This window comes from Homo sapiens, chromosome 14, assembly GCF_000001405.40.
Source record: "Homo sapiens chromosome 14, GRCh38.p14 Primary Assembly".
NCBI classification, from domain to species: Eukaryota; Metazoa; Chordata; class Mammalia; order Primates; family Hominidae; genus Homo; species Homo sapiens.
In genome coordinates, this window is record NC_000014.9 from 70,870,757 (window position 1) to 70,884,069 (window position 13,313).

General features: G+C 43.1%; 1 annotated feature.

Moving 5' to 3' along the window:
• Positions 1,897 to 1,976: an enhancer, noted in NCBI's record as "active region_8667". NCBI's record gives its function as "activates an Ori minimal core promoter by ATAC-STARR-seq in GM12878 lymphoblastoid cells {active_cell/tissue: GM12878}" and the evidence as "EXISTENCE:reporter gene assay evidence [ECO:0000049][PMID:35858748]".

The following is a 13,313-nucleotide window of genomic DNA, read 5'->3' on the forward strand; positions in this document are numbered from 1 at the left end:
TTCTAGGTTCCCTTCCTCTGAGTTCAATTCTAAGGCAACCAGTTTAAGGTAGGGGATATTAATTTTTCCCAGTTTGGAGGATGCATCCAAGGGGAGTGTGCTGTAGCACAGGGACACAATTACCCATCTGTGAAGAGAGGACAGAGGTGGAAAAAGGTAATAAAAAAGGCATTTTTTTTCAAAGGAGTCCCAAGGGTTCAGGATGTACTTTTGAAAGGGGTAAAGACTGAAGATGAATGGCTACTCATCTAGAAAGAGGGGAGCAAGGCATGCCTAGTTCCCTTCTCTTCCCAGCAAATACCCAGGGTATGTGAGGGAGAGGCAAGAGAGGCATCCCTTTTCTTCCTTCTTTCCTTGTATCCCGGAGTCCTGAAGACAATGACAGGGTGCTGCCCATGGGTGTCAATGTGCCTTTTCACCCATGTTAACAGGTGGGTTAGAGGGTAGGATTATCCACCCTTACCCACACACTGCCTTTCCCCTTGCTGTCAGTAGCTTTCAAGTTCCCTAGACCTCATGCATGCCATAGATACTAGCATGACCACTATCCATGAAATGGGAGGCTTGGCTTAATTGGCAGGAATTAGTCATGCTTACCTGTGCTATGTCTCTTAACTTCCATTGTCATCTGCCTCAGATCCAGTTTTCTTTCCTAGAGTTTCAACCCAAAGTTTGGAATTGAGTTTGGGACAAGAATGTGTCTCAGTGGGGTTCATGGATTCATTAAGTCATGGGTGAAGCTGTGGAATTGGGTCCTCCTCCAACAAGGGATAGAAAAGAGTGTCTTGTGAATTGGGGTCCTGGCCTATTAAAACGCCTTTCAAGAAAAAAAAAAACTCTGGCATGGAGAAGCCCCCTGTATTGCACGGCTGTGTTATTAGGTTGGTGCAAAAGCAATTGTGGTCACCGCCATGCTAAGTAATGGCAAAAACCTCAACTACCTTCAAACCAACCCATTAACTCCCGACCTGATGGAGAAAAGGAAAAAGAACAGCTTAAGGGTAGAGCTGGAGAAGATTGTTGAGGAAGAAACCTCTTATTCTGATGCAAATGAGTTTCTCCAACAGGGAAAGAAATTTTTAATTCCTGTTTCTTCCCTCAGGCTCAGAACAAGCTGGACCCCTCAGCTGGGGGAGGGGAAGACTCCGTGGGCACGTGGTGGGAAACATGGCCAGCTAGCCATGAAGGGCCTTGGGCCCCCAAGACTGCCCTGGGGCCTGGGAAGTGGCTGTGGCTCAGTCCTGCACTGCATGGCCACTGAACACAGCATGTGTATGCAGCAGACATGGCCACGTGCCCCAGCTAGGAGGGAAAGAGGTGGTGGGGAGCTGCTGCTCGCCTGTCTGTCACAAGAACATGCCTGTGGCCATTGGAGTGGGGGTGGAACACCCCCAATATTATAAAAGAAAAGATAGGTGCTATTTTAATTCTGAAAAAAAGAAGGAAAATGCCACAGAAAAGACTGTATTGGACCAAGGCTGACATTCCCAACCCCTGAAAGTGACAGGGAGGGGGCAGTTTTCCCTGCCTTCAGAAGAAGTCTGAAGATGAGAAAGCTCAGAAACGAAAGTGAAAGATATTTTTGGGGCAGCGTTTTACTCACCCTTCTGACAAACCCCCGTATAGGCCAAAATGATGCAGAATTTTTGCTCCCTAGTTCAGCTAAATCAGAGTTCTTGTCTCATGACCAGGAAAAATTAGGCACGTGGTCATATTGAAGGGTGAGGAGGGAAGAATTTATTAAGTGAAAGGAAAGCTCTCAGCAAAGAGAGGGGATCTCCAAGCAGGTTTCTCCCTCACAATTGAAAACCAGGGCCACCGCACATGAGCTTATGAGGCCAGGCTCCTCCCCTGAATAAGGCATGAATTGCTTGTGGCCCCCCAGTCCCCCAGTGCACACGTAGGCATGCCCAGGCAAGCCATAGGTAGTATCAGAAAAGGCAGCATTCAATGGGTTAAAAGGCATTATTCAGAAAGAATCAATTGGGAAAGCGTGGGCAAACAGGGGCAGAAGTTCTCCCTCTGGGTCACAGGTTTCATCCTAGACCAGCACTCCAGTCTTTCAGCCTTCAGGCTATTTTAGGCTTGAAAGTGAGGTTTTAGCCTAGGGACTCTTCCCTATCTGCCTAGGAATTTGTCTCCTGCCTTCATCAGTAGTACATATTACATATATGTAACTAAAAACAAAAGAAATAATTCTGTATAGTACATACATGCAATACATATATATGTACAATACAGAATATATGTACTATAGAATATATGTATAGTACATATATTCAGTATAGTTCATACTACACTACATACATGCTATATTATATGTATAGTATATTTCTGTCCATATATATACTATAAATGTACTATATATTCTGTATAGCACATACATATAGTACCCATATGTACTATATGTATATATTATGTATGTTATATATAATATGTATTGTATATAGGCATATGCTATGGGAAGGGGGGCAGGGAAGTGCTGGGTAGAGAAGGGGGGGGTCCCTGATGAGGGCTCCATCCTCGAGCCTGTGCCCACGGACCTAAATGAGGACAGATGTTTCTGTTTTCACACCCAAAATGTTGCCTTTTGGGCCACCACACCCCCCACATCCTGTGCCCATAAAAACCTGAGACCCCAGCGGGCACACACACAAGCAGCTGGACATTGAGAGAAGCAGAAGACAGACACCAGCAGACACCAGCAGGCCATTGAAGGCAGAACGACATGACACCAAGAGGAATTCGGCCAGGGTGGTTGGAGGAAAGTCTAGCTGCTGGATGGCCCAAGTCCAGGGAAGACCACTTTCCCACTCCATCCTTTTTCTTGCTCCCCATCCATCTCACTGAGAGCTACTTCCACCACTCAATAAAACCTTGCACTCATTCTCCAAGTCCACATGTGATCCGATTTTTCCAGTACACTAGAGCAAGAACCCAGGCTACAGAAACCCTTTGTCCTTGTGATAGGGCAAAGGGTCTAATTGAGCTGATTAACACAAGCCACCAGCAGATGGCAAAGCTGAAAGAATATACTGTAACACACTCCCGCTGGGGCTTCGGGAGCTGCAAACCCTCAACCCTAGACTCTGCTGTGGGTCAGAGCCCAAAAATGCTCTCCATGACCCACCCGTCTGCATGCTCCCCTAGGGTTTGAGAAGTAGGGCCCTGAAGAGGCAAGCCACACCCCTGTCACATACCCTGTGAAGGTGATAAGGGAACTCCACCCATTTCACATATAGTAAACATATATGTACCATATTTTAATTATATACATTAATCATAATTTTAACTCTTAGTAACATTAATTTCCAGTGAACAATCAAGGAAGTAATCCATTTTAAACTGTTTTATATCAGTATTTGTAGATGAAAGCCATTTCCTAATTTTTAGAAAGAAATGTTTCCTCAATTTTTTATGTTTCTTCTTATTTATTTATCCATTTATTTATTTTGAGATAGAGTCTTGCTCTGTCATCCAGGCTGGAGTGCGGTGGCATGATCTCAGCTCACTGCAACTTCTGCCTCCTGGGTTCAAGCAATTCTCCTGTCTCCGCCTCCCAAGTAGCTGGAATTGCAGGCGCACACCACCATGCCCGCCTAATTTTTGTATTTTTAGTAGAGATGGCGTTTCGCCATGTTGGCCAGGTTGGTCTCAAACTCCTGACCTCAGGTGATCTGCCCGCCTTGGCCTCCCAAAGTGCTGGGATTACAGGCATGAGCCACCACGCCCAGCCAGATTTTTATGTTTCTTAATAGATCCAAATATATTTAACTTCTATATACTGTATTAAAAACAAGATGTTGAAGTATATAAACTAAAGCTATGCTTAATAATTAATGTTTCAGTATTTTATTGAATTTAAAATGAATTGAAAATAAAGTAATTTTCAATTACTTAATTTAACATGATTTTAAAATTTGAAGTTGCTGAAAAAGATTTTGGAAACTATGATAAATTTATTTATAAATTTTGATGCCATTTACATTCACCTTATTTACTCATTCTTTACAATTATGCTTGAATTACTTATTAAACAAAACTAGCCATTGAAGAAGTATAACTGCTCAACAGGTTCACATTGCCAGCTGCCTAGACAGAGCTAATTTATCAAGACAGGGGAATTAGAATGGAGAAAGAGTAATTCATGTAGAGCCGGCTGTGCGGGAGATGGAGTTTTATTATTACTCAAATCAGTCTCCTCGAGCATTTGGGAATCAGAGTTTTTAAAAATAATTTGGCGGGTAGGGGCTCGGGAAGTAGGGAGTGCTGATTGGTCAGGTTGGAGATGGAATCATAGAGGAGTCAAGTGAGTTTTCTTGCTTGTTGTCTTCTGTTCCTGGATGGGATCATAGAATTGGTGGAACCAGATTACCAGTCTGGGTGGAGTCAGTTGATCCATGGAGTGCAGGGTCTGCAAAATATCTCAAGCATTGATCTTAGGTTTTCCAATAGTTATATTTTCCCCAGGAGCAATTTTGGGAGGTTAAGAATCTTGCAGCTGGAGGCTGTGTGGTCACTAAACCACAATTTCTAATCTTGTAGCTAATTTGTTAGTCCTATAAAGGCAGACCGGTCCCCAGACAAGAAGGGTTTTTTTTTTTTTTTTTTTGGAAAAGGGCTATTATCAATTTTGTTTCAGAGTTAAACTATAAACTAAATTCCTTCTGAAGGTTAGTTCAGCCTACGCCCAGGAATGAACAAGGACAACTTAAAGGTTGAAAGCAAGATGGAGTCAGTTAGGTCTGATCTCTTTCACTGTCATAATTTCCTCAGGTATGATTTTGGCAAAGGCGGTTTCAGAAGTTCGGAAGATATGACCCCAAAATATGTTGCTTTTGTATACTATTGCTGCTAACAGGTACTCAGAGCAAGGCTTTAAAAATTCTCCTTGTTTGTCTAAAGACAGATTTTCCAAAGGAATCCAAATGCCATCAATCCTGTTGTTACAGGAAAGGGGTCCTGATCCAGACCCCAAAAGAGGGTTCTTGGATCTCGTGCAAGAAAGAATTCAGGGCAAGTCAATAAGGTGAAAGCAAGTTTATTAGGGAAACAAAGGAACAAAAGAATGGCTATTCCATAGAAATGCATGGTTTTATGGTTATTTCTTGTTTATATGCTAAACAAGGGGTGGATTATTCATGCCTCCCCTTTTTAGACCATATAGGGTAACTTCCTGATGTTGCCATGGCATTTTTAAACCGTCATGGCGCTGGTGGGAGTGTAGCAGTGAGGACAACCAGACGTCACTCTCATCACCATCTCGATTTTGGTGGGTTTTGGCCGGCTTCTTTACTGTAACCTGTTTTATCAGCAAGATCTTTATGAGTTGTACCTTGTGCCGACCTCCTATCTCATCCTGTGACTTAGAATGCCTTAACTGTCTGGGAATGCAGCCCAGTAGGTTTCAGCCTCATTTTACCCAGCCCCTATTCAAGACCTCATTTTACCCAGCCCCTATTCAGATGGAGTTGCTCTGGTTCAAATGCCTCTGACACTCTCCCCTAGGAAGTTCCAGAAACCAGGGAAGATTAACTATTATCACAGGAGAGAAGGTTTCATCACACCAAGACAGACCTTGTCACACAAACCATGATTAATTTTTCTAAGGGCCCATTCATCTTTCCCCCAAACCATTTCCTACTTCAGGCCTAAATACCACCATTTGCCCAAACCAAGGAAGGAGGGTATAGGTAAAGGTCCAGTTAAGACAAGATGACCAGGAAAAGCATCTTAAATGATAAGGCTTGTTATATAAATTTAAATCAATGCCTTTTCAATTTAAAGAGTTTCCAGGGGCTTAGCCCTCTGTCTCTTTGTGTTGCACAGAGGTAGACACCCTTACAAATAGAGATTTCTTTCACAGATGTAATTTTCTTTAATAAAAGCGTTTCAAAATAGCCAGCTAAATGCCAGAAAGGTATATTGCAAAGACTGATTTAGTTCAATAGGTAGTCTTTTTAACTTAGCTTCTGTTTCTTTTCTCTTTTTTTGAGACAGAGTCTTGCTCTGTTGCCAGGCTGGAGTGCAGTGGTGCGATCTCGGCTCAGTGCAACCTCTGCCTCCTGGGTTCAAGCAATTTCCCTGCCTCAGCCTCCCAAGTAGCTGGGACTACAGGCACATGCCACCATGCCGGGCAAATTTTTTTGTATTTTAGTAGAGACAGAGTTTCACCATGTTGGCCAGAATGGTCTCCATCTCCTGACCTCGTGATTTGCCCACCTCGGCCTCCCAAAGTGCTGGGATTACAGGCATGAGCCACGGCGCCTGGCCTAGCTTCTGTTTCTTAGCTAAATTACTGAGTTTAAAGTGGAGCTCACACCAGTTAGAATGGCAATCATTAAAAAGTCAGGAAACAACAGGTGCTGGAGAGGATGTGGAGAAATAGGAACACTTTTACACTGTTGGTGGGACTGTAAACTAGTTCAACCATTGTGGAAGACAGTGTGGCGATTCCTCAAGGATCTAGAACTAGAAATACCATTTGACCCAGCCATCCCATTACTGGGTATATACCCAAAGGATTATAAATCATGCTGCTATAAAGACACATACACACGTATGTTTATTGCAGCACTATTTACAATAGCAAAGACTTGGAACCAATCCAAATGTCCATCAATGATAGACTGGATTAAGAAAATGTGGCACATGTACACCATGGAATACTATGCAGCCATAAAAAAGGATGAGTTCATGTCCTTTGTAGGGACATGGATGAAGCTGGAAACCATCATTCTCAGCAAACTATCGCAAGGACAAAAAAAACAAACACCACATGTTCTCACTCATAGGTGGGAATTGAACAATGAGAACACTTGGACACAGGAAGGGGAACATCACACACCGGGGCCTGTTGTGGCGTGGGGGTAGGGGGGAGGGATAGCATTAGGAGATATACCTAATGTAAATGACAAGTTAATGGGTGCAGCACACCAACATGGCACATGTATACATATGTAACAAACCTGCACATTGTGCACATGTACCCTAGAACTTAAAGTATAATAATAATAATAAATAAAAATAAAAAATAAATAAATAAATATAGTGGAGCCCATTAATGAAGAGGACAGAGAAAGCGTTCTCTATGCCTGGACTCAGCATGGATAGCTTTGAAAAAGAGAAACAAGCCTACTTTACCTGAGGGCCTACCTTTTATAAGCACTTTATTCGGCTTTCTTTCCACCTTGGGGCAGGATAGTAACTAAGCCAAAATGTTAGCAGATTCTATTTCCCTTATCAATTAGTCATTTAAAATCTTTATTTGTCTTTTGTAAAGAGCCTTTAAAAGAGGCAATAAGGCCGGCGCGGTGGCTCACGCCTGTAATCCCAGCACTTTGGGAGGCCGAGGCGGGCAGATCACGAGGTCAGGAGATCAAGACCATTCTGGCTAACACGGTGAAGAAACCCCGTCTCTACCAAAAATACAAAAAATTAGCCGGGCGTGGTGGCAGGCGCCTGTAGTCCCAGCTACTCGGGAGGCTGAGGCAGGAGAATGGCGTGAACCCGGGAGGCGGAGCTTGCAGTGAGCCGAGATGGCGCCACTGCGCTCCGGCCTGGGCAACAGAGGGAGACTCTGTCTCAAAAAAAATAAAAAAAATAAAAAAATTTTAAAAAAAGAGGCAATACAAATTTTGAAATTTTTTTTAGAAGCTTCTGCACATCAATAGGCATCCCTGGTGAACCTAATTCAGGAGCCCCCATTTTTAAATGCACTTCTTAAAGTACAATGTTGTTCATTTGAATGTTCCACCATAATTTTAAATCATCTTTAGTAAGATTTCTCCATTTTTGTAAGCATTTGCTGCTTCCGGTGCCTAATACTTATATACTATACATAAAGGCAGGCATACTGGGAAAGTGGAGGACTCAGTTCTTCAAAAATTAAGGATCTCATTTTTATGTTGATTCCTGGCTTTGGCTCTAAGATCCTCTTGGCCAAGTCAGCCAATGATTTTTCCCTACCCAAGTGTGTAAGAAAAAGGAACAAAGGAGATAGAACACAAAATCTCTGCAAATTCCCAAAAGCTGGAGTTCGCACCCCCTGCACTAATTGCCATTTACCACCCGTTTCCGCCTGACCCAGCGAGACAGCTGAGGCCTCTAACTTGATCCAATCCACTTAATTATCGAATCTGATTCGATCCTGGACCGAGTCCAGTTTTTGTTGTGACTTCTGGACTGAGTCCAGTTTTTGTTGTGACTTCTGAACCGAATCCAGTTAAAAAATTTGCTCAAACTCAGATAGCTCAAAACACAAATTTGTGGCACTTCAGAATCTAAGAGCGAATTTGTCCAGGATCCCCAGTTGCTGCAAGAGAGCAGTGGACACAGTGGGCCCAGCAGGCACCTTGCTTGGTCGCTCCATCCTCCTGGGGGTCATTAGAAGCTCTACTTTGTGGGCATTTTTGGGGTTTTTTTGTTTGTTTATTTCTTGTTTTGAGACAGGGTCTCATTCTGTTGCCCAGGCTGGAGTGCAGTGGTGTAATCACGGCTCACTATAGCCTCGAACTCCTGGGCTCAGGTGATCCTCCCACCTCAGCCTCCCTAGTAGCTAGGACTACAGACACGTGCTCCCACACCCAGCTAATTTTCTACTTTGGATCCTGCTTCTGATGCCATTGGTTAAAAGAAAAGCTTTAGGCAAATTAAATTTAACACAGTTTAATTGAGTAAAGAAAGATTCTTGAATCCAACAGTCCCCAAAACACAAACAGACTCAGAGTGACTCCAGGGCTGCCACATTTATGCCACATTTATTAGGTAACATTTATGGACAGAAAAAGGAAATTGACCTGTAGAAAGCATAAGGGAGGTACAGAAACGGCTGGATTGGCTACAGCTGGGGCCTTTGCCTTATTTGAACCTGGTTTGAACAGTTGGCTGCCTGTGGTTAACTGAAATTTGGCTGCTGTGATTGGCTGAGACTCAGTTACCAGTCTGTTTATGCATCAAATTAGGTTACAGTTCACTGTGTATGGAGAAACCTTTAGGCCAGACTTAAAATATATACAGAGGCAGCTTTAGGCCAAACTTCATTTAACAGCATCTAGATAATTTTCTTCAAAAATTTTTGAATGATCCATGGCGTAGCCTCTTTCTTTTGTTCAATGTATCTATAGAGGGAAATGTTTTCACAACTCCATCATTATACTCTTAGTTTCCCCGAATAGTTTAACTGGTGGAAAGGGCAGCAATACTCAAAGCCATTAAACCAAGCAGAACTTGCACTATCAATTTCAGTCTGTTCTGAAGGTATTCATATATGGCTAAGGCTTTTTCTGCAAATGTAGAAAAGCTTACCCTGATATTAAGTTGCTAGGAAAATCATGTATGCATCAGTGTGTCTTCCGTGTTACATGGATATCACTCATATCAAAGTAACATGCATTGCTGCAAAAAGAATTGTAACTGTTATGTACTGAATTGTGTCCCCCCAAATTCATACATTGAAACCCAAGCCCACAATGCGATAGTATTTGGAGATGGGGCCTCTGGGAAGGAATTAGGTTTAGATGAGGTTACCAGATAGGTTCTTGTACGAGGCCATTCTTGTGTGGCCATAAAGAAATACATGAAGTTGTGGATAATTTATAAAGAAAAGAGGGGTATTTGGCTTATTTGGCTTACCATTCCGCAGGCTGTATAGGAAGCATGGAGCTGGCATTTGCTTCTGGTGAGGGCCTCAGGAAGTTAAAATCATGGCAGAAAGGAAGAGGAGCCGGCACATCACATGGTGGGAGTGGGAGCAAGAGAGAGGAGGACAGTGCCATACACTTTCACTTATTATTATTGTTATTATTATCATTTTGAGATGGAGTCTCGCTCTGTCACCCAGGCTGGAGTACAGTGGCGCGATCTCAGCTCACTGCAAGCTCTGCCTCCCCGGTTCAAGTGATTCTCCTGTCTCAGCCTCCTGAGTAGCTGGGACTACAGGCACCCGCCACCATCCCTGGCTAATTTTTGTATTTTTAGTAGAGACGGGGTTTCATCATATTGGCCAGGCTGGTCTTGAACTCCTGACCTTGTGATCTGCCTGCCTCGGCCTCCCAAAGTGCTGGGATTATAGGTGTGAGCCACCGCACCTAGCCTCCATCCACTTTTAAATGACCAGATATCACATGAACTCAGAGCAAGAGCTTACTTATCATCAAGGGGATGGTGCTAAGCCATTCATGAGGGATCCACCCCCATGATCCAATCACCTCCCACCAGGCCCCACATCCAACACTGAGAATCACATTTCAACAAGAGATTGGGATGGCACAAACATCCAAACCATATTAGTCCTCATAATGGGATTAGTACCCTTATGAGAGGAGATAGCAGACAGCTTGCAGTCTCTCTCTCTCTCTCTCTCTCTCTCTCTCCCTCTCTCTCTCTCTCTCTCTCTCTCTCTCTCTCTCCACCATGTGAGGACACAGAGGGAAGGCAGCCATCTACAAGCCAAGGAGAGAGTCCTTACAGGAACCTGACCGTGCTGGGACCTTGATACTCATACTTCCAGCCTCCAGACATGTCAGAAAATAAATTTTTGTTGTTTAAGCCACCCAATCCATAACATAGACTGGGTATTATGTCACCCAGTGCCATAACATGTTATGCTATGGCAGCCTAAGCTGACTTAGATAGTAACCATCATTATGTGACATAAAAGGAGCATAGTAAAGAGAGCACATAATTCTAGAAGGGGTGGAGGTTGGAGAGAAATTAAGTTGAGAAGAGGAGAACAAGATGTCAGGAAAGTCTTCCCATATGAGATACTTCTAGCAATTGAGTCTAGTCTAGAGGAACAGGCAGTTATTCTCTAAATGGTCTCTAAGAAGAGCTGGGGGCCTTAAAAACAAGGGACGTAGCAGTAATCTTTTTTATAGGCTGTGAATTGCTGTGGAACCTATAGCTTCAAACCTATTTGTTTTCCATGAACTCTATAATGATGTCATGGTCTATGCCTTCTTCATGTACAAACATCATACAGTTAACCCACCACCATGATAGCATGTACTTTCTGTTGTCGTGTTGTTTCCTAGTAAGGTGATTGATTTGCATTGCTTCAACCGGGCTCCTCTGATTGATCATTTTCTAAACAATGGATGCATTTACAGATGGTTGCCAGGTTCAGCAGAGGAGGCTGTAGCCATCAAATAGATAAAGTAGGCTCACCACATTCTGGAATTGAAACCGTGATCTTGGTTACATCAGAAGGTGCTCTAACCAATTGAACAAACCAGGCCTCGATGAAGCAACTGAGAGCTGGGGGATTCTTATGCAGAACAGAGCATTCATACTTCCGCTTCCATATGTACCACATATGTGTTCCTCTCAACTGGTTTTGTACATTTCCATTGCCTTAAATGTATTCACATAGCACTCTTTAAATACTCGAAGTATAATGAAGAAAAGAGAAGGAACTGAAATGGTTCCATTCCATTTCTCACTAGGAAGTTGATTCTGTGCACTCTATTTCTGACTATTTTCTATCAGCCTATCACTGTGGGATGTAGGAGGGAGGAACAGGACACAAAATGTGGCATAATTAAAAAAAGATGAAGAAGAAAATTAAAATCATTAACCATTAGTAATCATTTTTAATGTGCATCATTTTTAAAATTCGAGAATAACCCAAGGAGGTAGGCATAATGTTTAGACATGATTTACCAGTGAAAAGAAGCTTAGAGAAATGAAGTAACGGCTGGAAAGTCACAGCTAGAACTCAAAGTGAGAATTCCCACCCAAGAAATCTAACTCCAGATTCTACACTCCTAATCTCCGCTATGTTGCTTTCCTGAAATGAGGAAAGAATAAGAAAGGAGAAAATTAGTGACAGGAAAGAGAGAGCTGAATAAGAGGGGACAAAGAAAGGAGGAAGGAAATCAAGCAGTTTCTACACTCTGGAAAATAACGGAGCAGAATTAACAGAAGAGAACTACTTTCCTCAATGCTCATTCTACTGTTAAAAAAAAAATAAGCCAGGCAGTGCAGCACACGCCTATAATCCCAGTGACTAAGGAGGCTGATGTAGGAGGATTGCTTGAGCCCAGGAGTTTGAAGCTAACCTGGGCAACAGAGCAAGACCTTGTCTCTAAAAAAAATTTTTTTTAAGTAGCTGCATTGTCTTGTTTTTCTAACTTTGTACAGTGCTTAGAGTAACACTATCTAAACAGCATGTGTTCCATAAACCCTGTTGACTAACCGCTGGATTTGCACAAGAAACACCGGAAGACTCTTAGGCAAGAGATATATTGTAAGATCCGTGACAATGAGATCTCTTGGATGACATGTTTTTCATTGTTTACTGCGTGTCTAAAATGAGAAGGTCCTAAGAGCCAACCTTTCATTGGAGTGGCCCCCATAAAACTGTCTGCTGTGTAAGGGGTGTTGGAGTGACTCTCCATCACAGGTTCTACTGCAGCTCTAGGGTGGGTCCTGAGTGATGTGAACCCCACCCCCATCCCCGTTGCTAGTGAATGGGTCTGGGGTAGGCAGGCCAAGGCCAATTGGGACCAATGAGTCATAAAGAGTTTTCTAAACACTTCCGGAAAATATGCTTTCTTACCCTTAAGAAAGAGTCACAGGAAGTTAGTAGGAGGTGAAAAGGGAAGCAATTAACCCAGCAACTACTGGAAGCCTTCCAAAACCCAGGGATCTTTCCCCAGAATGAAGTCAGCATTGGGGATAGCACAGCAGAGAGATGCAAAGAGCCACTGGATCCACCAGTCCTGAATCCTACCCAGCCTTTGACATCCTGCATTGGAGCCAATACATTTCTTTATGATAAAAGCTAGTTTGAGGTTGAGTCAGGATTTCTGTCCCATATTTTAAAGTATCCTACTGATGCAGCCTGGTAAACATAAAACATGGTAAACACATGTGGCCTGATTTTATTGGCAGCATGGTTAACTGGTTCAAGCTATGGTTCAAGCTATTCTTTCCCTTCTGTGATTATGACCATACGCTCTCATGAAAGGTGAAGCCTTTCTCCTGCCATGGCTACCTGGCTAAAAAAGCTCAGCCAGAGTCTCAATTCCTATAACCTCCTTCCCATCCATCCATTCATCCATCCATCTATCCATCCATCCATCCATCCATCCATCCATCCATCCAGCTGATGGATTAATAAATTTATATCAAGCACTTACTCTGAGCAAGGCATTTTGCTAGGCACTGTAAGGCCATCAAAAAGGAAAAAATAGGCCGGGCGCGGTGGCTCACGCTTATAATCCCACCACTTTGGGAGGCCGAGGTGGGTGGATCACCTGAGGTCAGGAGCTCGAGACAAGCCTGACCAATATGGTGAAACCCCGTCTCTA